This window comes from Homo sapiens, chromosome 2, assembly GCF_000001405.40.
Source record: "Homo sapiens chromosome 2, GRCh38.p14 Primary Assembly".
Lineage (NCBI taxonomy): Eukaryota > Metazoa > Chordata > Mammalia > Primates > Hominidae > Homo > Homo sapiens.
In genome coordinates, this window is record NC_000002.12 from 85,111,643 (window position 1) to 85,139,393 (window position 27,751).

Here is a 27,751-nt window from a genome sequence, read left to right on the forward strand (position 1 = left end):
CATTGGTCCATTTTGTCAATAACATGATGTTTATCGACCACATGAGTAAGAAGTGGCAAGTAAGTTGAAGCCTTGGTAAGATACACATTTTCCAAAGAATGAGCAATAAATGATAAATCTTAGGAAGATTCTGGGTCCTACCAGATCCGTGACATGTTTAGGGATCCACTGAGATGGAAGCATGATACTCGTTAGCCTCTTTGGGTTCTGGAGATGGTATGTTTCATACTGGGGAAAACTACTCTGACTCATTTACTGAATCACATGGAAGGCTGACAACTTTGAGTGGTGTCCAGAGTAAGGAAAGGCTCTACAGCTGGTTCATGCTGCATTACAAGCAACCCTGCCACTTAGGCCAGGTGACCCAGGAGACTTTGTGATATTAGAGCTTTCTGGGGTGTAAAAACACCTGTAGGAATGTATGGGAAACCCCAGACAGCTACATGCCACTCAATAAATAGTTCCTGGCATACTCCTGGGTCATGGTAGAGACGAATCAGCTGACTATGAGACATCAAGTGGCCTGTGGTTAGAACTGCCCATCCTGAGCTGGTTTCTGTCAGACCCATCAAGTCATAATGCTGAGCGGGTCCAGCAGCAGCCCATTATAAAACTGCAGTAGTGTGTCAGGATTGGGTATCAAGTAGAGCCAGAGGCTAAAAGTAAGCCACTAGCCACATGTCATCCTGTCATCCAGTACTGTTGCATGGATGCCTTTCCCTGGATTCCATTTACATCCACATAGAAAGTATTATGACCAACTGATGGAGGAAGCAAAGGACAAGCTTGATTCTTGGACGCACTAGCTTGATTTGTGGATATAAACCAAAAGCAGACTGGTGATACAGTGCTGTCTCACTCAGGGTGCCCCTGAAAGCATGTTGAGATAAAATCCTCCCATGGTCAGAGCTTTGGGAAGTACATCTGGTCTTCTACTTTATGTGGAAAGAGAAGTACCCCAAGATGAAAATATACACAGACGTGAAGGCAGTGGCAAATGGCTTAACTGAACAAGGACCTGAAAGGAACAAGATTGGAATACTGGGGACAATATTGGAAAGAAGCATGTAAATCAAGAATCTGCAAACTTTTTGTATAAAGGGTCAGAGTAACTATTTCAGACTCAAGGGCCATATGGTTTCTGTTGCAACTGCACAGCTCTGCTGTTGTAGTGTAAAAGCAGCCATATTCAACACATAAATAAGTGGCATGGCTGTGTTCCCATAAAACTTTATTCATAAAACAGGCAGTGGGTGAATTTGCCCTGTGAGTTTTAGTTGCCAACCCTTGGTAGAGATGGACCCAAAGAAGTGGGCAAAAAAAAAATGTGAATGTCTTTTTCTGCATTTCATTGACCACATGACAGCATCCACCAACAAAAGACTGACTGGACAACCAAATAGACAGGATGACTCAACTAGTTGATGTTAGCTACCCTCTGTTATCACTCACCACAGTTCTGGCCAGATCACCTCACAAATGGGGTAGTCATATGGCAAGGTTGGAGGCTATGAATGGCACAAAAGTATGAGTTCCTACTTACTAAAGCTGGTATAATTACTTTTGCCATGCAGTGCCCAACCTGCCAGCAGCAGAGGCCAATGCTGAGTCCCCAGCACGGTATCATTCTTTGAGGAGACCAACCACCCACTTTCTGCCAAGATGATTACCAGGCCCTTTCCACTCTAGAAGGAGAATTGCTTCATCTTGACTGGAATTAACACATGTTCTAGATATAGTCTTACCTTTTCTGCCTGCAGGGCCTTGGACAACACTCTGAGAACTCACAGAGTGATCTACCGGTATGGAATTCTGAATAGCATTGCCTCTGACCAAGAAACCCAACTTACAGCAAGAGAGTGTGGCAATGGCCACATGACAATGGGATCCACCAGTCCCATCATATACCACATCACTCAGAAGCTTCTGGACTCAATAAAGTGAGGAAATAGCCTTTGGAAACTGTAGACAAGATACCAGGTTAGAAATGATACTCGACTGGGCACAGTGGCTCAGGCTGGGCGCAGTGGCTCATGCCTGTAATCCCAGCACACTGGGAGGCCAAAGCAGGCGGATCACAAGGTCAGTAGTTCAAGACCAGCTTGGCCAATATGGCGAAACCTCATCTCTACTGAAAATACAAGAATTAGCCAGGCGTGGTGGCAGGTGCCTGTAGTCTCAGCTACTCAGGAGGCTGGGCAGGAGAATCACTTGAACCCAGGAGGTGGAGGTTGCAGTAAGCCAAGATCGTGCCACTGTACTCCAGCTTGGGCAACAGAGCAAGACTCCATCTCAAAAAAAAAAGAAAAAAGAAATGACACTCAACAAGAATAGGAAATCATCTTCCAGGATGCAATATACACCCTAAATCAATGACTATTACATGATATTGTATCCCCAGGAGACATAGTACATGAATTTGGAAACCAAAGAATGTCAATAGAAATGGCCCCAATTACCATCAATCCCACTGGCCCACTTGGGAAATTCGTGCTTCCCATCCCCTCAATTTTAAGGCCTAGAGATCCTGGTTCCCGGGCGGGGGTGGAGTGCTTCCACCAGGAGACATGGTAAGAGTCTCCTATAGCTATTGCCTAGTCACTTTGGGATCCTTGTGCCAAGAGACATCAAGAAAGGAAAGTAGTAACCGTACTGTCACAGGTAGTTAAGTGATCCTTATCATCAGAAGAAGATAGGGTTGCTGTTACTCAGTAGGGATAGGGAAGAATGTATTTTGCACCCAAGTGGTTTACTGAGAAATCTCTTGGTACCCCCTGCCCAATATTTATGGTAAATGGACAAGGACAGCAGCCACAGTCTAAGAAGGACATGATGACCATGTAAAGCCATGGCCACTCAATAATGACGGTCTGGGCCACCCATCAAATAAGCCATCTGGACCAGCAAAGGTGCTAGCTGAGGATGAAAGAAATCTAGACTCCTAGACTAGAGTAAGTATTAGAGGAAGGAGACTGTGGCTCAAGACCAGCTGAAGCAGTGAAGGCAATAGTTTGTCCCAATAACCTTCTTCTCAAAGTTTTTCCAGGAAAGAAAATTATTCAGAATCCTGGAGCTGTCCCCAGAATTGAATGCACAAAGTAAGCAGATCCAAGTGGTGCAAGGGATAAGCTGTAGTGGATGCTGTGGTATACCACACAGAATTCCCCCTTTAGGATTGAGCTACTCATTTCTTCAGCTGCCAGGAGTATTTTCTGCCAATGGCTCACAGCCGAATCCTTCTCTAGAAATTGCTCTGGGCAAAAGAGAGCTGCCTTGCCCAAGGTTTTGCCCCTACTCTGGCAGCAGTCCATATCCAACAACTAATCAATATAGGGATACAAAGGTCTGGCCCCCTTGCCTCAATGTGGGGCAAATCTAAAGGAATATTCCAGCACTAAAGCTCCCTGTGAGATCCATTAAGTCCTCTCTTGCAATTGTTGTGAATTCAAATTTTCTATCTGCCCAATCCTGACACACACACACACACACACCCCCCACAATGTCAAAGGAAAAAGTCTCCCCTATGAGCTCATCTCCAGAAAGCAGCGCTGCTCACTGCTTGGTGGATATTGCTTCAGATTTTTTTTCTATATAGCCAATAGCCAATATATCTTTCATAATTTGAAGAAACAATAATAAATTAAAAATATTTTAAATACCAAAAGATGATAAGAAATGGGATTAGAAAATATCAGAATTTGTTCATCTTAGGGCTCTCAGCAGTAAAAACTAACTCGCTTTATCAAAATTCTGTGTGTGTGTGTGTGTGTGTGTGTGTGTGTGTGTGTCTGTGTGTAGAGCATGTCCCACTTTAAGATACTAAAAAACTTTTTATGCTATGATTAGAGAAAAGTACTTGGGTGTCATCTCCTCTTTCAAATCAGAGCGAAAAAGAACATAAAGCATGAGAACGATAAAAATAACACCAAATGGCTAGAGGCCAGACTGTCCATAATAAACTGAGAAAGGAAAAGTGACTTGTTGGAGGAAAATACTAAATAATAAGACTTTTTATAAATTGTCATCTTCTCTTTCTATACATAGACCATGTTGAGATTTCCCCTGTTGGACCACAGATGTCCTTAGCAGCTGATTTGTCTGTATAATCAGGACCAGACAAGACATTTCATGGTTCTGTTTTCCAGTTTCATAGATGAGAAAACCAAGGCTTCAGAATACTAAGCTGACTTGTCCAGAGTCACATAGTAATGATTAGAACCCAGATGCAAACTCAAATCCTCACAGCTTTCAGTTGGCCATGTTCTTCATGCTGGCAACAATAGGAAAGACAGGTCGATGCACAATCCATTTTTAAAATCCAAAGAATGCTTAATAAACATTTATTGAGGTGATTCAGTGCAATTTTTGGTAGATGGGAAAATCCTTCAACTCATGGAATAAGTAGGCTATGCACTCTTGTTCAAATCTTAACCTACCCATAAAATGATTTAATTCCATATCTGCAAAAAGACACAAGGATGTAACTAAAAAAATTCATTCTGACCACAGCAGATTTGTCATGAACAGGCATGCAGTAATATGAAAACACTTAAAATATACACGTTATATTAAACTGGTGTTGCATGCCAGGAACATTTTGAGCCACCTGGAAGGAATATTTATTTCTTTAGAAATGATTACCCTCCAAAAAAAAACTGCAATTAGGAAAAAATTTCTCCAGGTAATTAATGCTCTGCGAAAGAAATCTAGAACAAAAAAGTAAATAGCTTTGGACTTTGCAGTCAAGATAAGAACAAAACAAATCCTCACCCCCTCTCCACCCCCTCAGCTTCCATTCCTGGTGTATCAGAACAACCACCAGTGATTGCCGCAAGAAATTATCCCAGATTAGAACAAAAACCATTTGTTATGACTTATACTTTATTTGCCAGTTTGCAGATGATGCTAAAATATGTTGGTCAAATCGACAAAAAGAAATGCAGACTTCTACATATATTCTATTTACTAGAAAATAGCACTAGCTTTAAAATTAGCAGCACAAAATTGGACTTGGGAGCAGTTTACAAATTGGCATTCCACTATGTTCATGCTCTATCAAATCTTTGTGTGACTTTTATGTATTGCTAGAGTAGCATGAAGAAAATAATGAAAGATGTTTGAAAAAAGGGGAAAAATCACCCACTTCATCCACGACATGAACACATTTTCATTTTCCTTAAAGACCTTGTCCATATGTGTAATGTAATGATCTGGTACCTATAGTTTTCCATTGTGCTATTTATTGCTTAGCATTGTCTGTGTTGCTACATAGTTATCTGCAACCTCTATTAAATGTAAAGGAGGTGACAGAATCTTAGAGGTTATGTGTGTACACACACACATATTTATTAATTTCTAATTTGATTACAGTTTACAAACTCAGAACAGGAATATTATTGCATTGACTTACTTCTCAAATATCATGGCAGCAAAAGTTCAGCTGTTGAAGAACTTGATGTCACTGAGCATTTAACTAACCTTTCAAAAAACATGATTGCAGCAAGACTTTGAGGTGAAAAGTCCAGATTTTATAAACCATTCCATTTTTATGCTTTTGTCTTTTGAGCATTTTTGTCATCGCTTTACCTTGATTTCCTAATAAAAGATATTTTAAGGAAATTCCCATCTGGTCTCAACTGAAGAAAGAAGTACAGGAAGTTGCCCTCTTCCAGGCTATGAAAGTCAGGGAGATCCATAGGCCCAAGGGGTCAGGTGTAAAGGGTAGCTGGGCCAGCAAGGGTGGAGACAGTGAGATCTCCCTGGGTCTGCAGTTGCACAGATGGGAGCAGAGAAGGTAAGAATGAGGGGCAGCTGGTGCTATCCCAGGGCATTGCATGGCTCTCTCTGTTTTACCTCCCTGAGAGACTGCAAATTCCCCAGGGCACAAACCATATCCTGGGCAAACTTACCACTAGGTCAGTAGCTGCTGAATTCATGAACTTACGTCTTGGAGAAAGTTTTGAGGCATTATAGAAGAGTGGAAATCAGCTGGGAGCTGTGGCTCACGCCTGTAATCCCAGCACTTTGGGAGGCCAAGGCGGGCAGACCACAAGGTCAGGAGTTCGAGACCAGCCTGACCAACATGGTGAAACCCTGTCTCTACGAAAAATACAAAAATTAGCTGGGTGTGGTGGCACTACCTGTAATCCCAGCACTTTGGGAGGCCAAGGCGGGCAGACCACAAGGTCAGGAGTTCGAGACCAGCCTGACCAACATGGTGAAACCCTGTCTCTACGAAAAATACAAAAATTAGCCGGGTGTGGTGGCACCACCTGTAATCCCAGCTACTCAGGAGGCTGAGGCAGGAGAATCGCTTGAACCCAGGAGGCGAAGGTTGCAGTGAGCCGAGATCACGCCACTGCACTCCAGCCCAGGTGACAGAGCGAGACTCCATCTCAAAAAAAAAAAAAAAGAAGAGTGGAAATAATAATAATGGCCACGAAGTTGTTAGTTTATTTATGCAACAAGTATTTATTGTGCATCTACTATTTGTCAGGCATTAATTACGTTGACTACCTTTTCATATGCTTCTTGGTTATCTGGATATACTTTTTGATGAAGTATCCAGTGAAGTATCTTGTCTATTTTCTTCTTGGGTTGTCTGGTTTTTTCCTTATGGGCTTGTGTAAGTTATTCATATATTCCGAATGAGTCTCTGGTCAGATATGTGTAAAGCAAATATTTTCATCTTGTCTGTGGCTTGCCATTTTACTCTAATAATGATGTTATTTAAGAAATCAAAATTCTTTATTTTGGGAGGCTGAGGCGGGCGGATCACGAGGTCAGGAGATCAAGACCATCCTAGCCAACACAGTGAAACCCCGTCTCTACTAAAAAAAAAAAATGCAAAAAATTAGCCGGACATGGTGGCACACGCCTGTAATCCCAGCTACTCAGGAGGCCGAGGCAGGAGAATCACTTGAACCCGGGAGGCAGAGGTTGCAGTGAGCTGAGATCGCACCACTGCACTCCAGCCTGGGTGATAGAGCAAGATTCCGTCTCAAACAAAAAAAAAAAGAAAGAAAGAAAGAAAGAAAAAAGAAATCAAAACTCTTACTTTTTTTTTTTTTTTTTTGAGGCAGGGTCTCAATCACAGCTCACTGCACCCTCAACCTCCTGGGCTCAAGCGATCCTCTCGCTTCAGCCTCCTGAGTAGCTGGGACTATAGGCACACACCACCACACCCAGCTAATTTTGTATCTTTAGTAGAAATGGGGTCTTGCCATAGTGGCCAGGCCTGTCTTGAATTCCTGGGCTCAAGTGATCTGCCTGCCTCAGCCTTCCAAAGTGCTGGGATTACAGGCAGGTGTGAGCCACCATGCCTGGATCAAAAGTCTTAAGTTTAATATAGTCCAGTTTTCACTTTACCTTTATAGTTAGTACTTGTGGGTCCTATTGAAGAAATCTTTGCTCACATCAAGGTTGTGAAGATATTCTCCATATTGTGTCCTAGGAGCTTTGTTGTTTTACTTTAAGTGTAGATCTACAATCCATCTGAATTGTATTTTTGTGTATGCCCTGAATTAGAGATCAAGGTTTTTCCCTCCATATGGATGGTTGCTAATCCCATCCTTTCTCTCTTTCACTGACATGACAACTTTATCATAAATCAGGTATCATGTAAGTGTGGATCTGTGTCAAGATTTTTCCGTTAGTCTAATTGTCTAGACTAGCACCAAGAAGGGGCACTGTACATTTCTAACAAGTCTTAAAATCTTTTAGTGCAGGGTGGGTGCGGTGGCTCATGCTTATAATGCCAGCACTTTGGGAGACCGAGGTGGGTAGATCATTAGAGGTCAGGAGTTCGAGACCAGCCTGGCCAACGTGGTGAAAGAAACCCTGTCTCTACTAAAAATACAAAAACTAGCCAGGTATGGTGGTGGACACCTGTAGTCCCAGCTACTGGGGAGGTTGAGGTTGAGGCAGGAGAATCAGTGGAACCCGGGAGGCAGAGGTTGCAGTGAGCTGAGATTGTATCACTGCACTCCAGCCTAGGGGACAGCTTAAGACTGTCTAAAAAAAAAAAAAAAAAAAAAAAAATCTGTTAGTGTAAGTGTTCAGGTTTTGTTCTTCAAAGTCATCTATGCTATTTTTAGCCTTCTACATGCCATATTGTTTTAAAATGTAGGTTTTATTATTATTCAGGTTTGGTGAGACTGACAGATTAAGGAACAACTGCCATTGAAAAGATAATTTGTTATTCACCGTGCCCAAGAAGAAGGGGTATGCCACACCATACAGGGCCACGTGGGGAAGCACCATGGCCAGTTAGGAGGCAGAAATGAGGAGAAAGCATGGGTAGGAGCCTTTTTTGTGGTTTTCACAGGTAGTATGGGAGAGGCAGTTACAGGCTAAGAAGGACTGGCATTGGCTAGTTTGAATAAATTCAGTAGGCTCCAGGGAGCAGGAGTGGTCCTGAGCTGTCTGGTACCTAGCCCTGGGGTGATTAGGGAAGGAGAATATTGAGGAGTAAGAGCCCTGTGAGAGTGCAACAAAGGAGGAGGTTGGAGGGTATGGGCTCTGGATTGGTTGTTTTGCATCTGAAAAGCTCCCTCACAGGAAAGCCATTTGCTATTTCTAGGAATTAGCTAGCCCTGAGAGGGGCAGTCTCTCCCAGGTCAGCAAGGCCTCCAGGATCTAAAAGATTAATAACATACAGAAAATAAAAAACATGATTAATACACATATCTATTGTAGAATCAGCTTGTCAGTTTATACACACAAACACACACACACACACACACGGTTTTTTAATTGGGTTTATATTGAATCTATTCATCAATTTGAATAGAATTAACATTTTTATAATATTAAATATTCCAGTTGATGAAAACAGAATATTCCTACCTTTTCTTTCTGTTGAAGTCTTCTTTAATTCCCATGAGTAATACTTTTAGTTTTCTATGTAGATGACTTGCATATTTTTGTTGAAATTATTTCTGGGATTTGGTAAATTTTGATGCTATCTAAATGATATCATTTATTGGATTTTTCTCATTGTTGATTGCTAGTATGTAGAAATACAATTGATATTTGTTATATTGATCTATAGAGAGATTTTGCTAAATTCACTTAATTCTAATAGTTTATGAATTCTTTTACATTTTCCTACATACAAATCATATTGTCTGAAAATAATGAGTTTTATTTCTTCCCTTCCAACTAATATAATATACCTTTTCATTCTTTTGAGACAGAGTTTCGCTCTTGTCACCCAGGCTGCAGTGCAATGGTGAAACAGCTCACTGCAACCTCCTCCTGGGTTCAAGCAATTCTCTCGCCTCAGCCTCCCGAGTAGCTGGGATTACAAGCGCATGTCACCATGCCCCACTAATTTTTGTATTTTTAGTAGAGACGGGGTTTCGTCATGTTAGCCAGGCTGAACTCCTGACCTCAGGTGATCCTCCCCGCTTGGCCTCCCAAAGTGCTGGGATTACAAGTGTGAGCCACCGCACCCAGCCTCTTTTTTTTTTTATTATTATTTTATTTTTTGAGATGGAGTCACTCTGTTGCCCAGGCTGGAGTGCAGTGGTGCAATCTTAGCTAACTACAACCTCCAGCTCCCGGGTTCGAGCAATTCTCCTGCCTCAGCCTCCTGAGTAGCTAGGATTACAGGTGTGCACCACAACACCCGGCTAATTTTTGTATTTTTAGTAGAAATGGGGTTTCACCATGTTGGTCAGGCTGGTCTCGAACTCCTGACCTCAAGTTATCCGCCCATCTCACCCTCCCAAAGTGCTAGGATTACAGGCGTAAGCCACCGCACCCAGCCCTTTTTCATTATTTTGCTTGCCTTGTTGTATTGTCTAAGAGCTCCTATCATAAATCTGAATAGAAGTGATGTTAGCAAGCATCCTTTTCTTATTCCCAATCTGAAAGGGAAAGTTTTCAATATTCCATCAAGCATATTTACTGTATTTTTTTGATTGACAACCTTTACCTTATTACAGAAATTCCTGATATTTCTAGTTTGCCAAGAGCTTTTATTTTTAAAAAACTATACATAGATACTGAATTATATAAAATAATAGTATCTATTGAAGTGATCATATAGTTTTTCTCCTTTATTCTATAATTGTGGTAAATTATATTGATTATATTTTTGAATGATAAATGAATTGTCAGTCTTGGAATAAATCCAATTTATCATGACTTACTATTCTTTTTATTTATATTTAAAATTTTTATTTAATTAATTTATTTAGAGCTGGGATCTCCCTATGTCACCCAAGCTGGTCTTGAACACCTGGCCTCAAGCCTTGACCTTCTGAGTAACTGGGATTACAGGCCTGAGACACTGCACTCAGCTCTATTCATTTTTTATATATAGCTGAATCCAGTATAATAATATATTATTTTGACCGGGCACAGTGCCTCATGCCTATGATCTCAGCACTTTGAGGGGCCGAGGCAATCAGATCACTTTAGGCTGGGAGTTCAAGACCAGCCTGGCCAACATGGTGAAAACCTGTCTCTACTAAATACAAAAAAATTAGCTGGGTGTGGTGGTGCACGCCTGTAATCCCAGCTACTTGGGTGACTGAGGCATGAGAATGGCTTGAACCTGGGAGGTAGAGGTTGTAGTGAGCTGAGATCGCACCACTGCACTCCAGCCTGGGTGACAGAGTGACACTCCAGCCTGGGTGACAGAGTGAGTCTCTGTCTCAAAAAAAAATTTTTTTTATTTTGTATATTTGCATATATGGTAATGAGAAAGACTGGCTTGTAATTTTCTTTTCTTATATTTTTTAGTTGTTGTATCAAGATTATGTTGAACTTACAAAATGAGTATTTCTGCTTTTTCTCTTCTCTGGAAGAGTTTCTATAAAATTGTGTATTAGTATCCCTAGGCTGTTGTAACAAAGTACTGCAAATTGGGCTGCTTAAAACAACAGAAATATATTCCCTCATAGTTGTGGAGGTTGGAAGTCCAAAATCAAGGAGCAGTAGCGTTGGTTCCTTCTGTGAAGGCTCTGAGGGAGGATCTGCTCCATGCCTCTCTTGTGGCTTCCGGTGAAGCCAATCCTCAGTGTTTCCTGGCTCACAGATACATGGCCTCCATCTTCACCTGGCATTCTGTCTTCGCATGGTTGTCTTCTTATAAGGACTCAAGTCATATTGGTTTAGGCGCTCCAGCGTGACCTCATTTTAATGAATAGCATCTGCAATGCCCTATCTCCAAATGTACTCACATTTGGAATTCTGAGATACTGGGGGTTAAGACTTCAACATATCCATTTTTGGAAGGGACACAATTCAACCCATAACAGATTGTGTTATTTGTTTCTTTGAAAGTTTAGAAGAATTAATCAACGAAGCCATCTGGGTGTACAATTATATTGTAGGAAAATTTTAAATTATGGATTTCTTTTTTTTTTTTTTTCCAGACAGGGTCTCTCTGTTGCCTAGGCTGTAGGACGGTGGCACAATCACAGCTCACTGAAGCCTCAGCCGCCTAGGCTCAAGTGATGCTCCCCTCTCAGCCCCCAACAAGTAGCTGGGACTAGAGGTGCTCACCAACACATCTGGCTAATTTTTAAATTTTCTGTAGAGGTGGGGTCTCCCAATCTGCACAGACTGCTTCCAAACTTCTGGCCTCAAGGAGTCCTCCCACCTCAGCCTCTCAAACTCTTAGGAATACAGGTGTAAGCCACGGCACCTTGCCACATTCCACTTATTTAACAATAATAGACCTATTCAGATTTTTCAGTTCTTATGTGAGTCGAGGTCAAGTTTTTTAAGGAATTTGTTCATTCGTATAAATTTTCAAATTTATTAGCATAGTTGTTCATAATATCCTTTTACTACTTAAGTATTGATATATTTTGTGTTTTATGGTCCCCTTTCATTATGGTACTATACCTTTTCTCTTTAAAAATATATTTTATTTTTAAATAAATAAAATGGAATATATTTGCATAATTTCCAAAATTGTAGGGATATTCAAATTTTTTGTTTTCTTTTAAAATTGCTTATTAGCTTATCTTCATTGTGGTCAAAAAACATACTCTGCATGGCAATTCTTTGAAATTTGCATGTGCACTTAATAAGTATATATACAGGCAGTGGCTCACACCTGTAATCTCAGCACTTTGGGAGGCCGAGGTAGGCGGATCACTTAAGGCCTGGAGTTCCAAACCAGCCTGACTAACATGGCCAAACCCCGTCTGTACTAAAAAAATGTATATATACAAAAATTAGCCAGGCGTGGTGGCACATGCCTGTAATCCCAGCTACTCGGGAGGCTGAGGCAAGAGAATCGCTTTAACCTGGGAAGCGGAGGTTGTAGTGAGCCGAGATCGTGCCGCTGCGCTCCTGCCTGGGCAACAGAGAGTCTGTCTCAAAAAATTAAATTAAATTAAATTTTAAAATAGGGCCGGGCGCGATGGCTCACGCCTGTAATCCCAGTACTTTGGGAGGCCGAGTCGGGCGGATCACGAGGTCAGGAGATTGAGACCATCCTGACCAACACGGTGAAACCCTGTCTCTACTAAAAATACAAAAATTAGCCGGGTGTGGTGGCACGTGCCTATAGTCCCAGCTACTTGGGAGGCTGAGGCAGGGGAATCACTTGAACCCAGGAGGTGGAGGTTGCAGTGAGCCAAGATCACGCCACTGCACTCCAGCTTGGCGACAGAGTGAGACACCGTCCCCAAAAATAAAATATATATATATATTTTATTTTAAATAAATAAAATGGAATATATTTGCATAATTTCCAAATTTTTCGGATATTCAAATTGCCTATTTTCTTTTAAAATTGCTTTTTTTGAGATGGAGTCTTTGCTCTGTCTCCCAGGCTGGAGTGTAGTGGCATGATCTCGGCTCACTGCAAGCCCCGCCTCCCAGATTCACGCCATTCTCCTGCCTCAGTCTCCCGAGTAGCTGGGACTACAGGCACCCGCCACCACACCAGGCTAATTTTTTGTATTTTTTAGTAGAGACAGGTTTTCACCATGTTAGGCCAGGATGGTCTCGATCTCCTGACCTCGTGATCCGCCCGCCTCGGCCTCCCAAAGTGCGGGGATTACAGGCATGAGCCACCACGCCCGGCCTTAAAATTGCTTTTTAGTTTATCTCCACTGTGGTCAAAAAACATACTCTGCATGGCCATTCTTTGAAATTTGCATGTGCACTTAAAAAGCATATAGAGGCGGGGCGCAGTGGCTCACACCTGTAATCCCAGCACTTTGGGAGGCCGAGGTGCGTGGATCACTTGAGGCCAGGAGTTCGAGACCAGCCTGGCAAACATGGTGAAACCTTGTCTCTACTAAAAATACAAAAATTAGCTGGGCGTGGTGGCACGCACCTGTAATCCCAGCTACTCGGGAGGCTGAGGAATTGCTTGAACCGGGGCGGCGGAGGTTGCAGTGAGCTGAGATCACACCACTGCCCTCCAGCCTGGGTGACAGAGTGAGACTCCATCTCAATTAAAAAAAAAAAAAGCATATGGATTCTGCAGTTGTTGTTGCAATGTTTTCTATATACGTCAAGTTTGTTAATTGCATTGTTCAAGTCTTCTATATTTTTGTTGATTTTTTGTGGCTTGTTTGGTCAGTTACAGAAAGAGTTATATTAAAATTGCCAGCTATGATTGTAGTTTTGTCTACTTCTCCTTTTCGTTCTGTTTTTACGCATATTTTTGAAACTATGTTATTAGGTAAATGAAAATTTTGAGTTATTTTTATCTTCCCCTTTTATCATGATGAAATGTCCCACTTATTTCTACTAATATTTTTGTTTTAAAGCCTACTTCATCTAACATTAGTATAGATAAATCAGCTTTCTTCCCCCACGCTATCCCCGGAGTCTTACTCTGTTGCCCAGGCTGAAATCTGGAATGCAATGGCGGAATCTTGCTGCCTAATGGTTTCAAGCAATTCTCCTGCTTCAGCCTCCTGAGTAGCTGGGATTACAGGCATGTATCACCATGCCCACCTAATTTTAATTTTTTTAGTAGAGATGAGGTTTCACCATCTTGGCTAGGCTGGTCTTGAACTCCTGGCCTCAAATGATCCACCTGCCTCAGCCTCCTAAAGTGCTGGGATTACAGGCGGGAGCCACTGCACTCGGCCTAATCAGCTTGCTTTCTTTTATTTATTTATTTATTTTTGAGACGATGTCTCACTCTGTCGCCAGGCTGGAGTGCAGTGGCACGATCTTGTCTCACTGCAACCTCTGCCTCCTGAGTTCAAGTGATTCTCCTGCCTCCGCCTCCCGAGTAGCTGGGACTACAGGCGCATGCCAACACACCCAGCTAATTTTTGTATTTTTAGTAGAGACAGGGTTTCACCATATTGGCCAGGAGGGTCTCGATCTCTTGACCTCGTGATCTGCCCGCCTTAACCTCCCAAAGTGCTAGGATTACAGGCATGAGCCACCGTGCCCAGCTAATCAGCTTTCTTTAGGTTAGCATTTTTTATGTTTATCCTTCTCCCTCTTTTTACTTTCAACCTGATTTGTCATCACCTCAAGGGTGTAGCTTTTGTAAGCAGCAGATAGCTGCTTTTTAAAAATATACTCTAAAAATCTTGTCTTTAAATTTGGAGTGTTTAGATCATATACATTTAAAATAATTACTGAAATTTTGACTGTATCATTTTAATATATTTTTATTTGTCTCATTTGTTCTTTAATTTTTGTCTCCTTTCTTCTTTCTTGCTCATTAGTTTGTTAGTAATATTCTTTTCTTTTTTTTTTTTTTTTTGAGACAAAGCCTCCCTCTGTCACCCAGGCTGGAATGCAGTGGCACAATCTCGGCTCACTGCAACCTCTGCCTCCTGGGTTCAAGTGATTCTCCTACCTCAGCCTCCCAGATAGCTGGGACCACAGGTGTGTGCCACCATGCCTGGCTAATTTTTGTATTTTTAATAGAGAAGGGGTTTCACCGTGTTGATCAGGCTGGTCTCGAACTTCTGACCACCTGCCTAGGCCACCCAAAGTGCTGGGATTACACGTGTGAGCCACCACACCCAGCCAGTTATACATTCTTTAATTATTCAGTGAGTGTTATTCTAGGGATGAACACATGCATTCTTGACTTACTAGAGTGCACCTTATTTATTTATTTATTTATTGAGACAGAGTCTTGTTCTCTCTCCCAGGCTGGAGTGCAGTGACACAATCTCGGCTCACTGCAACCTCTGCCTTCTGGGTTCAAGCAATTCTCCTGCTCCAGCCCTCCTAGCAACTGAGATTACAGGTGTGCGCCACCATGCCCAGTTAATTTTTGTATTTTTAGTAGATACGGGGTTTCGACATGTTGGCCAGGCTGGTCTCAAACTCCTGACCTCAAGTGATCCACCACCCTCAGCCTTCCAAAGTGCTGGGATTACAGGCATGGGCCACCACGCCTGGCCTACTAGAGTGTACTTTAAATTCCTACTTTCACGACTTCTCAGACAACCTTAGTTTGGTTCAATGCCATATCCCCCCTCTGCCTTTTGTCCTATTGTTGTCATGTATTTTATTTTATTTTATTTATTTTTGAGATGGAGTCTCGCTCTGTCGCCCAGGCTGGAGTGCAGTGGCACAATCTCAGCTCACTGCAACCTCCACCTTCCGGGTTCAAGCAGTTATCCTGCCTCAGCCTCCTGAGTAGTTCAGATTGCAAGTGTGCGCCACCACATCCGGCTAATTTTTGTATTTTTAGTAGAGATAAGGTTTTGCCATGTTGGCCAGGCTGGTCTCAAACTCCTGACCTCAGGTGATCTGCCTGCCTCGGCCTCCCAAAGTGCTGGGATTACAGGTGAGCCACTGCACCCAATCCCCATTGACTATTGATGTTATTTTCAATGTCCTAAACTCTTTTAGCAATGGTGAAAGGCAAGTTTATTTTCTCTGGACATATTTCTGTGGCTACTGCTCTTGAGTACAATTTAATTAAGTCACCATCAGTTAATAGCTCTCCTTGCTTTACTAACAAATGAGCCTCTAGGACACTTACTTTGTGAAGAAATTTTGCTGTGATTAGATATTCTGATTTCAATTTTTTTTTGAGATGGAGTTTCGCTCTTGTTGCCTAGGGTGGAGTACAATGGTGTGATCTTGGCTCACTGCAACCTCCGCCTCCTGGGTTCAAGCGATTCTCCTGCCTCAGCCTCCCTAGTAGCTGGGATTACAGGTGCCCGCCACCATGCCCAGCTAATTTTTTGTATTTTTAGTAGAGACAGGGTTTCACTATCTTGGCCAGGCTGGTCTCGAACTCCTGACCTCAGGCAATCCACCTGCCTCAGCCTCCCAAAGTGCTGGGATTACAGGCGTGAGCCACCGCGCCCCGCTTGATTTCAATTTTTAAATTTTTCTGGTCATTCCTTTCCTCTCAGTTGGGAAAATTGTTGATGAGTGCTTACTCTCGTGATGTTGACATATGTTCTCTTAGCATAACTGCTGTTGTTGCATACTAAACACAACGCTTTGTCACCTAATTTGCTAATAAAATAATCCATACTTCACTGTGCCTTCAAAGCACAAAATTCATAGTCTACTGATATGGTTTGGCTCTGTGTCTCCATCCAAATCTCATGTTGCATTGTAATCCCCATGAGTTGAAGGAGGGGCCTCGTGGAGGTGACTGAATCACGGGGCAGGGGGACCTTCTTTCTTGCTGTTCTCATGGTAGAGTTCTTACGAGATCTGGTTGTTTGAAAATGTGTAGCGCTTCCTCTCTGTCTCTCTCTCCTGCCACCATGTGAAGAAGTCGCTTGCTTCCCCTTCACCTTCTGCCATGACTGTAAGTTTCCTGAGGCTTTCCAGTCATGCTTCCTGTTAAGCCTGTGGAACTGTGAGTCAATTAAACCTCTTTTCTTCATAAATTACCCAGTCTCAGGTACTTCTTTATAGTAGTGTGGCAACGGATGAATACATCTACTTTTCTTTTCTTGTTTTGACATAATGGATATGCCCTGGTAATAAAAATTTAAAATAAATGTCGCAGTACAGAGATATGCATGGCACTGAAAACACTGTATCACCGTGATTTGTGGTGTACTGAGCAGCAGTATGAAGTGATAAGAGCATATACTGTCCCTGTTGCAACTACAGTCAGGCACCATATAACAAAGTTTTGGTCAATGAGGGATCACATACATGATAGGGTCCCATAAAATTGTAATACTATATTTTTACTGTGCCTTTTCTATCTTTACATATGTTTGGATACACACGTACCAATGTATTACAGTTACCTGCAGTATTCAGTACAGTAACATGGTGAACAGGTTTGTAACCTAGGAGAAACAGGCTATACCATATACTCTAGGTGTGTAGTAGGCTATACCACCTAGGTTTGTGTATACTCCATATGTTCACAGAGCAATGAAATTGCCTATTTCTCAGAATGTATCCCTATCATTAAGCAATACATGTCCTAAACTCCATCATTGTTTTGTGAAAGCAGCCATTGGCAATGTATAGGCTAAGGAGTATGGCTATGTTCCAATAAAACTTTATCAACACTGATATTTGAATTTCATATAATTTTCATGTGTCATAAATATTATCCTTATTTTTATTTTTATTTTTTGGGACAAAATTTCGCTCTTGTTGCCCAGGCTGGAGCGCAACGGCGCGATCTCGGCTCACTGCAACCTCCGCCTCCCGGGTTACAGGCATCTGCTACCACGCCTGGCTAATTTTTTTTTTTTTTTTTTTTTTGAAACGGAGTCTCGCTCTGTCGCCCAGGCTGGAGTGCAGTGGCACGATCTCGGCTCACTGCAAGCTCCGTCTCCCGGGTTCACGCCATTCTCCTGCCTCAGCCTCCTGAGTAGCTGGGATTACAGGCGCCCGCCACCACGACCGGCTAATTTTTTGTATTTTTAGTAGAGACGGGGTTTCACCGTGTTGACCAGGATGGTCTTGAATTTCTGACCTCAGGTGATCCACCCGCCTCGGCCTCCCAAAGTGCTGGGATTACAGCCGTGAGCCACTGCGCCTGGCCCTTATGATCTTTTTCAACCACTTAAAAATGTAAAAAAAGCGGCCGGGCGACGTGGCTCACACCTGTAAAACCAGCACTTGGGCGGATCACCTGAGGTCAGGAATTCGAGACCAGCCTGGTCAACATGGAGAAACCCCGTCTCTACTAAAAATACAAAATTAGCCGGGCGTGGTGGTGCATGCCTACATTCCCAGCTACTCAGGAGGCTGAAGCAGGAAAATTGCTTGAACTCGGGAGGTGGAGGTTGCAGTGAGCCGAGATGGCACCATTGCACTCCAGTCTGGGCAACAAGAGTGAAACTCCGTCTCAAAAAAAAAAAAAAAAAAGTAAAAAAAAAAAGTCTTAGCTGAGACCATTCAAAAACAGGCAGCAAGCTGTAGTATGCTGCTCTAGATGGTTGTTTTTGGTTTGGCCTCTATGCCTGGTGCTACAAATCACCAAATTCTCTGAGGGGATGAAACAGCAGTGAATACAAACTCGCTTGAATGAATTTCCCTTCTGGTATTTTGACTCCTCACGTCCTGGCTGACTTGGTTGACAGTGATGCCTTCAACTCAGCTGGGTTTTGTTGTTTTATTTTGGTATTTTATCCAGTTTATAGTTAGTTGTTCTTGATGAAGGAGTCAATCTGACATCAATACCCCATTAGAATGGGAAGTGGAAGTCTACATGTTAATTTTAATTTGCTACTTTTGCTTACCATTATGAGCCTCCTTCTATATTGACAAATATATCTCCACAATGTCATAACATTCCATTAGATGAATGCACCATGATTTAACTTAATAATTCCCTATAGGGGACATTGAAATTGTTTCTAGATTTTTTCACTGTGATGAACACACTTCTACAGGTTTATTTTTGTACCTAGTTGTTTCCTTCAGATAAAATCCTAGAAGTACGTGGATAAGTCAAAGGGTTCACACTTTTAAAGGTATTTCACAGGTATTACCAAACTTCTCTTTAGAACTGTTACACAATGGCCCAGCATCTATGTGCTTCTTAGTATAGGGGCCAATGCTGGGTGTTACCATTCTTTTCTTCCTTTGCCAATCTGACAGATGAAAACTGGTTATCTCAATGCTGTTTCCGTTTGCATTTCTGGTTTATAGGTGTGGCAGGCTGATAATGGCTTACTCCCAAAGCTGCATCTATGACCTAATCCCTGGAAACTGTGAATGTTTAAGGAAAAGAGGTCTTTGCAGATATGAAGTTAAGGATTTTGACATGGACAGGTTATCCAGGTGGTCCTTAAATGCTATCACAAGTATCACTTTTTTTTTTTTTTTTTTTTTTTTGAGACAGAGTCTCACTCTGTCGCCAAGGCCGGAGTGCAGTGGTGCCATCTCAGCTCACTGCAACCTCCTCCCTCCAAATTCAAGCGATTCTCCTGCCTCAGCCTCCCAAGTAGCGGGGATTACAGGCGCCTGCCACCACACCTGGCCAATTTTTTGTATTTTTGGTAGAGACAGGGTTTCACCATGTTGGCCAGGCTGGTCTGGAACTCCTGACCTCGTGATCCACCTGCCTTGGTTTCCCAAAGAGCTGGGATTACAGGCGTGAGCCACTGTGCCCGGCCACAAGTATGGTTTCTTACAAGAAGGGGGCAGAGGAAAATTTGTCACAGACAAAAAAAGGAGAAGGCAATGTGATTACAGACGCAAGGGTGGGAGTGATGTGGTCACAAGCCCCCAGAAGCTGCAAGAGACAAGGGTAGATTCTTTTCGGAGCCTCCAGAGGGAGCATGGCCCCGTCAACACCTCCATTTCTACTCAGTGAAACTGACAGTGGACTTCTGTCTTCCACAACTATGAGAGGATAAACTTCTGTTGTTTTAAGCCACCAAGTTTTCGTGATTTGTGACAGTAGCAGCAGAAAACTAGTACAATAGGTTTTTCATATATTTATGGACCATAAACATGAAAAATCGTCTGACTTTTAAATCTTATAAAAATAAAATAACACACAATAATACAAAGAGTATGATTCTATGTATGTACATCAGAATATCTGTAAATACGTTTACATATGTTCATAACTGCCTAGGAAAGTGTCTGGAAGGATATATACCAAACTAGTGACAGTGGTTAACCAGAGGCAGTTAACTGAAAGTGGTTAATTAGAAGGGTCCTGTGTCCTGAGGGGGAAAGAGGAACTTTTACTTGTTACTCGATACTGCTCAAGATACATCTGTTATTTGAAAACGCTTTATGAGACTGTACTCATGTATTGTGTAAAAAATTAGAAAAGGCATATCTGCTTGTTATAAAGTTCATAGAAACCAGAAAACTATCTCCTTTCACTTATCCTTTCCCAGAAATAGTCATTGATAATAATTTGCATCTTCTCAGATTTTTTTCTACGCAGAAATAAATGTGTATAATTTTTTTAAAAACAAAAATAAAATAGTGAGTGTCATATATAGTGTTTCATTTAAAGATGTTCCTCCAAAATCAATCTTGGTCCATGTGCCTGTGTGTGTGTGTGTGTGTGTGTGTGTGTGTGTGTGTGTGTGTGTGTGTATGGGTGGGGGGAGGGGCGGGGACACTGCATAGAACTGGCCAGCTGCATGGACTGTCACTGTAAAGAAAGATGAAGAATGCATGTCACCAAGCTCTCTGATGCTTTGAACCTAGCATATGTGGCTTTGCCCATATGTGCGGGCACCTCTGTAGAAACTCTTCTGCCAGTTGGGCTGAAAATAGTTTTACATAGTTCCATACTGCCTTCCAAGCTGTTTTCAAAGTTTATGCTCTAATAGTTCCCCACGGAGGATAACACAAGATATTCATTTTCCTCAAACTTTCCCGCACAGGTTGGAGAGAAACGACATCTTAATGTCATTGTAACAGGCATTTCTTTATTAAAAAAATTTTTTTTTTGGAGACAAGGTCTTGCTATGTTGCCCAGGCTGGTCTCAAACTCCTGGGCTCCAGCGATCCTCCTGCCTAGGCCTCGGGAGTAGATGGAACTCCAGGCGCGGGCCGTGGCGCTCGCACCACAGGCATTACTTAGGTATGAGGCTGGTTGAGCATTTTTCTCGTGTTCACTGGCTACTCACGCAGCTTTGTGAATGGCTTCGGAGATCACTGGACAGGCAATTTTCCCTCTCAATGAACCAAATCCAAATTCTTTTGGAACCCAAGACCGCGATTTTTCGATTTAGGACCTAGTCCCAAACAATGAAGAAAAGGTGATCTTCAAGATTTCAGCAGGGAAATCTGTATATCTGTACAAGGTTGAAAACCTGGGCCGGGGGTCGCGTTGGAACCCCACAGGAAAAAGGCGCGGAAAGCCGCCGGGCATTTTCCGGGGTTCCATAGATGTCCCCAGTGTCCTAGTCCGTGCATCAGCTCGCGCACTCGGAGGGACTCTAGGCAGGGGGAGGGCCCCGCGGCCAGTATGTGCGTCCGAGGCTTTCCCGCAGGGGGCAGTGCCGCCCGCCCGCGCGCCGATACGGTGGGAGGGGGTGGGAACCTGCGCGGAGTTCTGGAGGTTCTTTGGGAGAAAGTTAGGGGATGCGGAGGGGTGGGCGCAAGACTTCCAGGACTCCAGGGAGGCCGTGGGGAGGGCCGCCGAGGGTGCAGTGTGAGGCGCAGGAGGGGGTTGGGGGCGGTGCACGTTGCAGGGAGACGCAGCCCCTGGAAGATGCGAGTGTGAACGTGTGAGTGTGAGTGCGTGTGTATGTGTGTGTGTGCGCGCGCACCGCAGCTCTCCGGGTTCCGCGAGGCGCGCGGGTGTCAGCTTGCAGCCGGGGCTCCTCCCTCCGGCCCCCCTGCCCAGCCCGGCGGTCCCTCCTCCCTCCCTCCCCGCTCGCCCCTCCCCGGCGGGCCAGGGGCTGGGACGCCCCGGCGGAGCAGGCGGCGGCGGTGGCGAGTTGGGGAGCCCTAGGCTCGGCGCTGCCGGAGGGGCCCGAGCCGAGCCGCCTGCGCCCCGGCCGGGCAGCGCCGGGCCCGCTTCCCGCGGGGCCACGCCCTGTCAAACTTTGTTGCGGCGGCTAGCGCAGCGGGCCCGCAAGCGGGCGGGAGGGGCGCCGGGCCGGGCCGGGCAGGGCGCGGGCGGCTAGGGGCTCCGAGAGCGGCGGCCCCGGCCCGCGGCCCCACCATGCCCCAGCTCGGCGGCGGGGGCGGCGGCGGCGGCGGCGGCAGCGGGGGAGGCGGCGGCTCCAGCGCCGGGGCGGCCGGCGGAGGGGACGACCTCGGGGCGAACGACGAGCTGATCCCCTTCCAGGACGAGGGGGGCGAGGAGCAGGAGCCGAGCAGCGATAGCGCCTCGGCGCAGCGGGACCTAGACGAGGTCAAGTCGTCCCTGGTCAACGAGTCGGAGAACCAGAGCAGCAGCTCGGACTCGGAGGTAAGGAAGCACCGCGGCCACCCCCGGGGGATCCCGGCCCTGCGTCCGCTCACCCGCTCTTGCCTTTGTGTCTCCTCCGCAGGCGGAGAGGCGCCCGCAGCCCGTCCGGGACACTTTCCAGAAGCCGCGGGACTATTTCGCCGAAGGTATGTGCCCGCTGGGACAGCCCCCCACTCTCGATTCCCGCTGCGCTCCGCTGCTCAGCCCGGGCGGCCCACCGTCCCCCTTGCTTGGGTGGACGCACCCTTGCCCTCCGCCTTTATTGGCGGCAGCCCCCGTGGGGCGCGCGTGGGGGGCGCTGGGGTCCCCAGCTCCCGCCTCGAGCCCCCTGCCGCGGCGCTGTCAGTCCCGGGGGCCTGGGCCTCACCTCGCCTTGGTCTTGTTCGCAGTGAGAAGGCCTCAGGACAGCGCGTTCTTTAAAGGACCCCCGTACCCTGGGTACCCCTTCCTGATGATCCCGGACCTGAGCAGCCCGTACCTCTCCAACGGACCCCTGTCTCCCGGAGGAGCGCGCACCGTGAGTGCCCGTCGGGCGCGCCGGGGAGGGTGGGAGGCCGCGGCCCGCAGGATGCGCCCCCGGGCTTGGCCATGGAGTGGGGGATGGGGCCTTCTGCGCCGATCCCAAGCAGAACTTGTTTGCGGAGTTGAACTACTCTCTGGCGGCCGAGCGCGAGGCTGCGCTGGCCAGTGCCTGGATGAAAGTAAAGTTACTTTAACTTTTCCCCTCTTGCGGGTTGAGGTTTTGGAGTCCACCTCTGGGATCTTCCTTGGCCTCCAGAATTCTTCGCCTGCACCGAAGGAAACTTGGATTTGTGCCCGCTTTGGGGGGGTCTCGCTTTCCTTCTTGGAAATCGGTCAGCTTTCTCTGGCAGTGGGGCAAGGGGCCTAGGGAGCTGGGTTGGCGACGTTGTCCTCCGACTCCGGGTTCACTGGGCGGCTGCAGGCTGGTTCCTAAGAAACCCAGTTTTCGTGGCGGGTTATTCACAGCCCCCGTTCCCACCCCCAGCCCTCGCACCGGGGCCTCAGCTTTTCTGCGGAGCTAGCTCCGAATTTTAAACTCGCGTAGATGATTTCGAGGCGACCCAAGGCATTCTTCAAGTTGAGGAACTTGGCTTTTTCCCCCTTTTGTCGCCTGCTTTTCTCATTTAAAGCGAGCGCTGCGACACTTTAAACCTGTTAATGGGCGCGTATTGTGTGCTGCCCGCTGGCATTTAGAGCGGTGATTAAGCAAATTGACCGGGCCCCAGACGACGTGCAAATGAGGGCGGATTCCTTCGCCCCCTCTCTCTGGCTCTAAACTCCCGCCCCCCGCGTTGCGAGGGGCGCAGCTGGGGGCTGGCGAGGCCTTTGTGTCCCCCAAGCCGCCACTCCACCCCTAGGCTCCCTGCCCAGGTGCTGGGTCCGATGACAGATGTTGGGTGAACGCCTACCTACTGTGTGCCAGGTTCCCGCGTGCTGCTGCTTGGGCGCGATGTGAATCGTAGTAGTTCTTTGCTTCCCGCCCAGATTCCCATTGCCTGCCACTTCGCTGTCGACGGTGGGTAAGGGGGCAGGGAGTGTTAGCCTCTTAGGAGCAGGGTCCCAGCAACACACTTTATGCTAAGACTGCCCTAAAATAACGACGATAATTAAAGGGTGCTAGAGAAAGGCTAGGTGCTGAATGGCCATTCCTGCTGTCATTGTACAGCGGTCGGTGGAGAGCCAAGTCCTCCACATTTGGTTCAGCGGGGGCGCTACCATCACCAGATGGGTTGGAGGGGGATTGACGGGGGGCGGTGGAAGAGACTCTGACTGAGAGAGAGGGGAATGGGGAGTGGGACTACACAGACCTCACAGTTTTGCCCCGAGAGGGAGGGAGGTCTTGCAGCTTTGGCCCTGCTGGCCTGGAGCACCCCAGGAAGTCCTGAATGTAAGTGTCAGTTTTGCAGTGAAAACTGGATGTGGGTCTATGGCTGTTGCTTTTTCTCATTAAAAGAAAAGAGGTGCGTGCCAATCAAAGGGGGGGGGGGATCAACGAGCTGCTGCGGTCTTATTTAGGTTTTCAGTGATTCCCACCAGTGCCCACACATGTAGCTTAGTTCTGCAAGTTTTGTTGGGATTCGTGTAACTTTGCGTATGGGGGAGAGTTAATGCCGCTAAAGTCTCAGGTTTCCATTTACTATTAGGATATCTAGAGAGAGGGGTCTGGGAGGCACTAGCATCTGTGCATCAGCCCTCAGCCAAGTCCTGATGCAGTTAAAGTCACCAGAAATGACTATTTCACCATCAAATATGACTATGGCTCCCTCAAGGCTATTTCTCCATGCACCCATTTCTCTTTAGGGCATTTTGATTCATCCAGGCTCTGCTGTCTGCTCTCTCTGACAGTCCAAGTGAGACAGATTTTTGTTAGTGTCCCCTCCTTCCTTCCTTCTATCACATTATGTGTTCTTTCGCCTAAGAACTTCCAAAGGCTGATTCTTGCTGATCCTGGAGATTCCTGATTACTAAATCCAGGCCCGTGTGGGATTTTGGAGCCCCTCCTTGAGGCAGCCAACCTTTCGTCTCTGCATGCCTCTCTGACTGTCCTTGTTCATCTCTGCAGTTGTTCCCTGCCCTGGCCCAGGCACCAGCCTCCTTTCAAGCCTCCTAGGACATGTACTTTCTTGGGGACTTAGTATGTCCCATCCCACCCCCATACCTACATCTTGTCTCCCTGGTGACTTGCCCTTACAGAAGTTAGTTCAGTTCCCAGTGTTTCTGTGTCTCTGTGTGCCTTTCGCTGTGTTAGTTCACGGATATACTGGGGAAGTGTCCTGCCCTTAGGTCAGCACAGTTAAACCTAATTTGACCCTGTTCGTTTGCTGCCAGTAAGTAAAGCAAGTGAGGAAACACTTAAGCACTTGGTTGTCTGGACTATAGGGTGGAGATGATGGTTTTCTGCTGAACGATTCTATTAATATAATTAAGATAATTGTCACTGTAGGCAAATGGTAGGTACAGACAAAGTGGCCCTCTGTTGGTTTCCCAGCCTGGTAAAATGAATGTGGATAGATACGAGTGGGGAGGGAGGAGGGAGGAAAGTGCCTGGGATATATGATCCGATCTCTCTGACATCTTAGGTCTTTTTTATTGTTTGGCCTCTAAACTGCACCACTTTAGGCTTTGCTGCTCTAAGGCCTAGAGGTAGTATAAAATTAGGTGACCCCAGTTATCTGCTGCTCTAACACTTCCTCTGGAAATACCAAGCCAGATGCAGAAGTGGGAATTGTCTGGATTGTTTTCAGGGTGTTAATGAACCCTAGGAATAGCAGGCAGGAGGCTTCAGCAGCCTCACCCACTGGCATAATTCCTGCTGAGACCACTGGGGGCTGGCCCATCCTACAGTCTGGCCATCTCTCCCCATGAGCCATCACCCTTGCCCTCCACTCTGGTTTGGCTGGGATGCTGGGAAGTGGCTTTTTCCTGAGGCTCTTTAGAGAAGAGGTCCCCTCAGCATGGGATGTGGGCCAAGTCTCTGTGAGCTGCAATTGCTTCTTGTCTGGAGGCCCTGGGACCCTGTGAAGAGAGGAATAACTGCCACAAACCATTTTTCAAATAATCACCTCAAAATTATACATTCATTTCTGAAAAGGCTTCACGGTTTACTAAACTACTTTGGGGCTGTTGCCTAGAATTTTGTTAGGAAAATGTAAGTTGGCTGGGTGCGGTGGCTTAGGCCTGTAATCCCAGCACTTTGGGAGGCCAAGGCGGGCGGATCACCTGAGGTCGGGAGTTCGAGACCAGCCTGGCCAACATGGTGAAACCCCATCTGTACTAAAAATACAAAAATTAGCCAGGCGTGCTGGCGAGCACCTGCAATTCCAGCTACATTGGAGACTGAGGCATGAGAATCTCTTAAACCCGGGAGGCAGAGGTTGCAATGAGCTGAGATTGTGCCACTTCACTCCAGTCTGGGCAACAGAGTGAGACTCTGCCTCAAAAAAAAAAAAAAAAAGAAAGAAAGAAAATGTAAGTCAACACATTAGAAAGTGAATGCCAAAAATGGTTTAAGACAAAGAAGAGCCAAAAAGAAAATGTTGAATGTGGTTCAGCAAGCCAGCTACAATGTGATAGAAAGTAATTTGACTGTGACCATGAAGTGAGGGCTGATGACATTTTGGAAAGAAACACTTCTAGGTAGTATTGCTGAGGGAGTCTGTGGTTTTTGTGTCCATCTTATAAATTACAGAACCTCTTTCGTTCAGCACAAGCACACGAAAGGCTTTGCTTTATTATTTCTCAGACCATCTCATCTCAGGCTTGTGTATGAAATTGTCCTGGTCCTCAAACGCGTGCTCATTTTTAAGTCCTTTATATCCCACTGCTTCCCATGGGCAGTCTTGCTCATATCCTGGGAGCTCCTGTTCTTTCAGACCCAAAGGAACCCAAGCAGAAATCTTTGTATGTATATGTATGAAGAAGTTGTCTGTTTTTAGGAGTTGTATGTAAAAGCTAAGGAAACCTTTTCTTTTGGAAGATCAGTATAAACATGCTGCTTTTGGTAAAATTCTTTTGAGCCATTTCATCTAAATATAACTTCTGTTTCATTTTTTTTTCTAAATATAACTCAGAGTTTAATGAGGGCTTTTCACATGGAACAAGCTTTTGAGAGGGCCTGTGTTGCTGAAGTTTTCGCCCTTGGATTGCTGGGGTGATATTGGTGACAAACTCTGTAGGGAAGGACTGGGAACCTGTCAATCTTTTTTCTTTGGTTGGGTGGATTGGGCAGGGAATAGCTGACTTGATTTGTTATAAGTTTGGAAGGTTATAGTTTGGTCACATTCTTCATTGATCACACTTTTAGGGATTCTTGAAGAAAAGGGAAGCAAAACATACACACACACCCCCACCCAATCTAACAGCGTATTCCAGCCTTTACAGTGATGTGCAGTGTTACTAAAATAATTGGGAAATAAAAAAGAGTATAAATGATTAACTCGCTGGAAAATCTTTTAAATCTTCTATAATAGGAAGGCCCTACTTACATTCTAATTTAGAGACACCTTTTACATGCCAACCTAGGGAAATTTAGATTTACACTTTTCTTTTTTTTTTTCTTTTCTTTCTTTTTTTAGACAGGGTCTCACTCTGTCGCCCAGGCTGGAGTGTAGTGGTGTGATCTTGGCTCACTGCAACCTCCACCTCCTGGGTTCAAGTGATTCTCCTGCCTCAGCCTCCTGAGTAGCTGGGATTACAGGTGCGTGCCACCACGCCCAGCCAATTTTTGTATTTTTAGTAGAGACAGGGTTTCACCATGTTGGCCAGGCTGGTCTCGAACTCCTGACCTCGTGATCCACCTGTCTCGGCCTCCCAAAGTGCTGGGATTACAGGCGTGAGCCACTGCGCCCAGCCTAGATTTGCACTCTTAAAACTAATTCCTAACTCTTAAACTTCTTCAACTGAAGTCTATTGGATACCTATCATGGGCAATGGCTAAGG

The 27,751-nt window shown here is 45.3% G+C and overlaps 1 protein-coding gene across 2 annotated transcripts in view, besides 5 other annotated features; it reads left to right on the top strand.

The window, feature by feature from the left end:
* Positions 8,189-8,788: an enhancer, noted in NCBI's record as "OCT4-NANOG hESC enhancer chr2:85346954-85347553 (GRCh37/hg19 assembly coordinates)". NCBI's record gives its function as "activates a minimal SCP1, AML or CMV promoter by ChIP-STARR-seq in naive and primed H9 embryonic stem cells {active_cell/tissue: H9 hESC(naive and primed)}" and the evidence as "EXISTENCE:reporter gene assay evidence [ECO:0000049][PMID:30033119]".
* Positions 21,350-21,419: a silencer, noted in NCBI's record as "silent region_11694". NCBI's record gives its function as "represses an Ori minimal core promoter by ATAC-STARR-seq in GM12878 lymphoblastoid cells {active_cell/tissue: GM12878}" and the evidence as "EXISTENCE:reporter gene assay evidence [ECO:0000049][PMID:35858748]".
* TCF7L1 (transcription factor 7 like 1) overlaps positions 21,750-27,751 on the top strand; it is a 176,996-nt gene continuing 170,994 nt past the window's right edge. For both annotated transcript variants that reach the window (XM_006712109.3, NM_031283.3), the window contains exons 1-3: positions 21,750-22,291; positions 22,374-22,437; positions 22,681-22,808. In XM_006712109.3, coding sequence (XP_006712172.1) covers positions 22,043-22,291; positions 22,374-22,437; positions 22,681-22,808 — 441 coding nt within the window. In that variant the 5' untranslated portion in view covers positions 21,750-22,042. The remainder of the gene's footprint in view (positions 22,292-22,373; positions 22,438-22,680; positions 22,809-27,751) is intronic.
* Positions 21,785-22,359: an enhancer, noted in NCBI's record as "NANOG-H3K27ac-H3K4me1 hESC enhancer chr2:85360550-85361124 (GRCh37/hg19 assembly coordinates)". NCBI's record gives its function as "activates a minimal SCP1, AML or CMV promoter by ChIP-STARR-seq in naive H9 embryonic stem cells {active_cell/tissue: H9 hESC(naive)}" and the evidence as "EXISTENCE:reporter gene assay evidence [ECO:0000049][PMID:30033119]".
* Positions 22,935-23,509: an enhancer, noted in NCBI's record as "OCT4-NANOG-H3K27ac-H3K4me1 hESC enhancer chr2:85361700-85362274 (GRCh37/hg19 assembly coordinates)". NCBI's record gives its function as "activates a minimal SCP1, AML or CMV promoter by ChIP-STARR-seq in naive and primed H9 embryonic stem cells {active_cell/tissue: H9 hESC(naive and primed)}" and the evidence as "EXISTENCE:reporter gene assay evidence [ECO:0000049][PMID:30033119]".
* Positions 23,510-24,083: an enhancer, noted in NCBI's record as "OCT4-NANOG-H3K27ac hESC enhancer chr2:85362275-85362848 (GRCh37/hg19 assembly coordinates)". NCBI's record gives its function as "activates a minimal SCP1, AML or CMV promoter by ChIP-STARR-seq in naive and primed H9 embryonic stem cells {active_cell/tissue: H9 hESC(naive and primed)}" and the evidence as "EXISTENCE:reporter gene assay evidence [ECO:0000049][PMID:30033119]".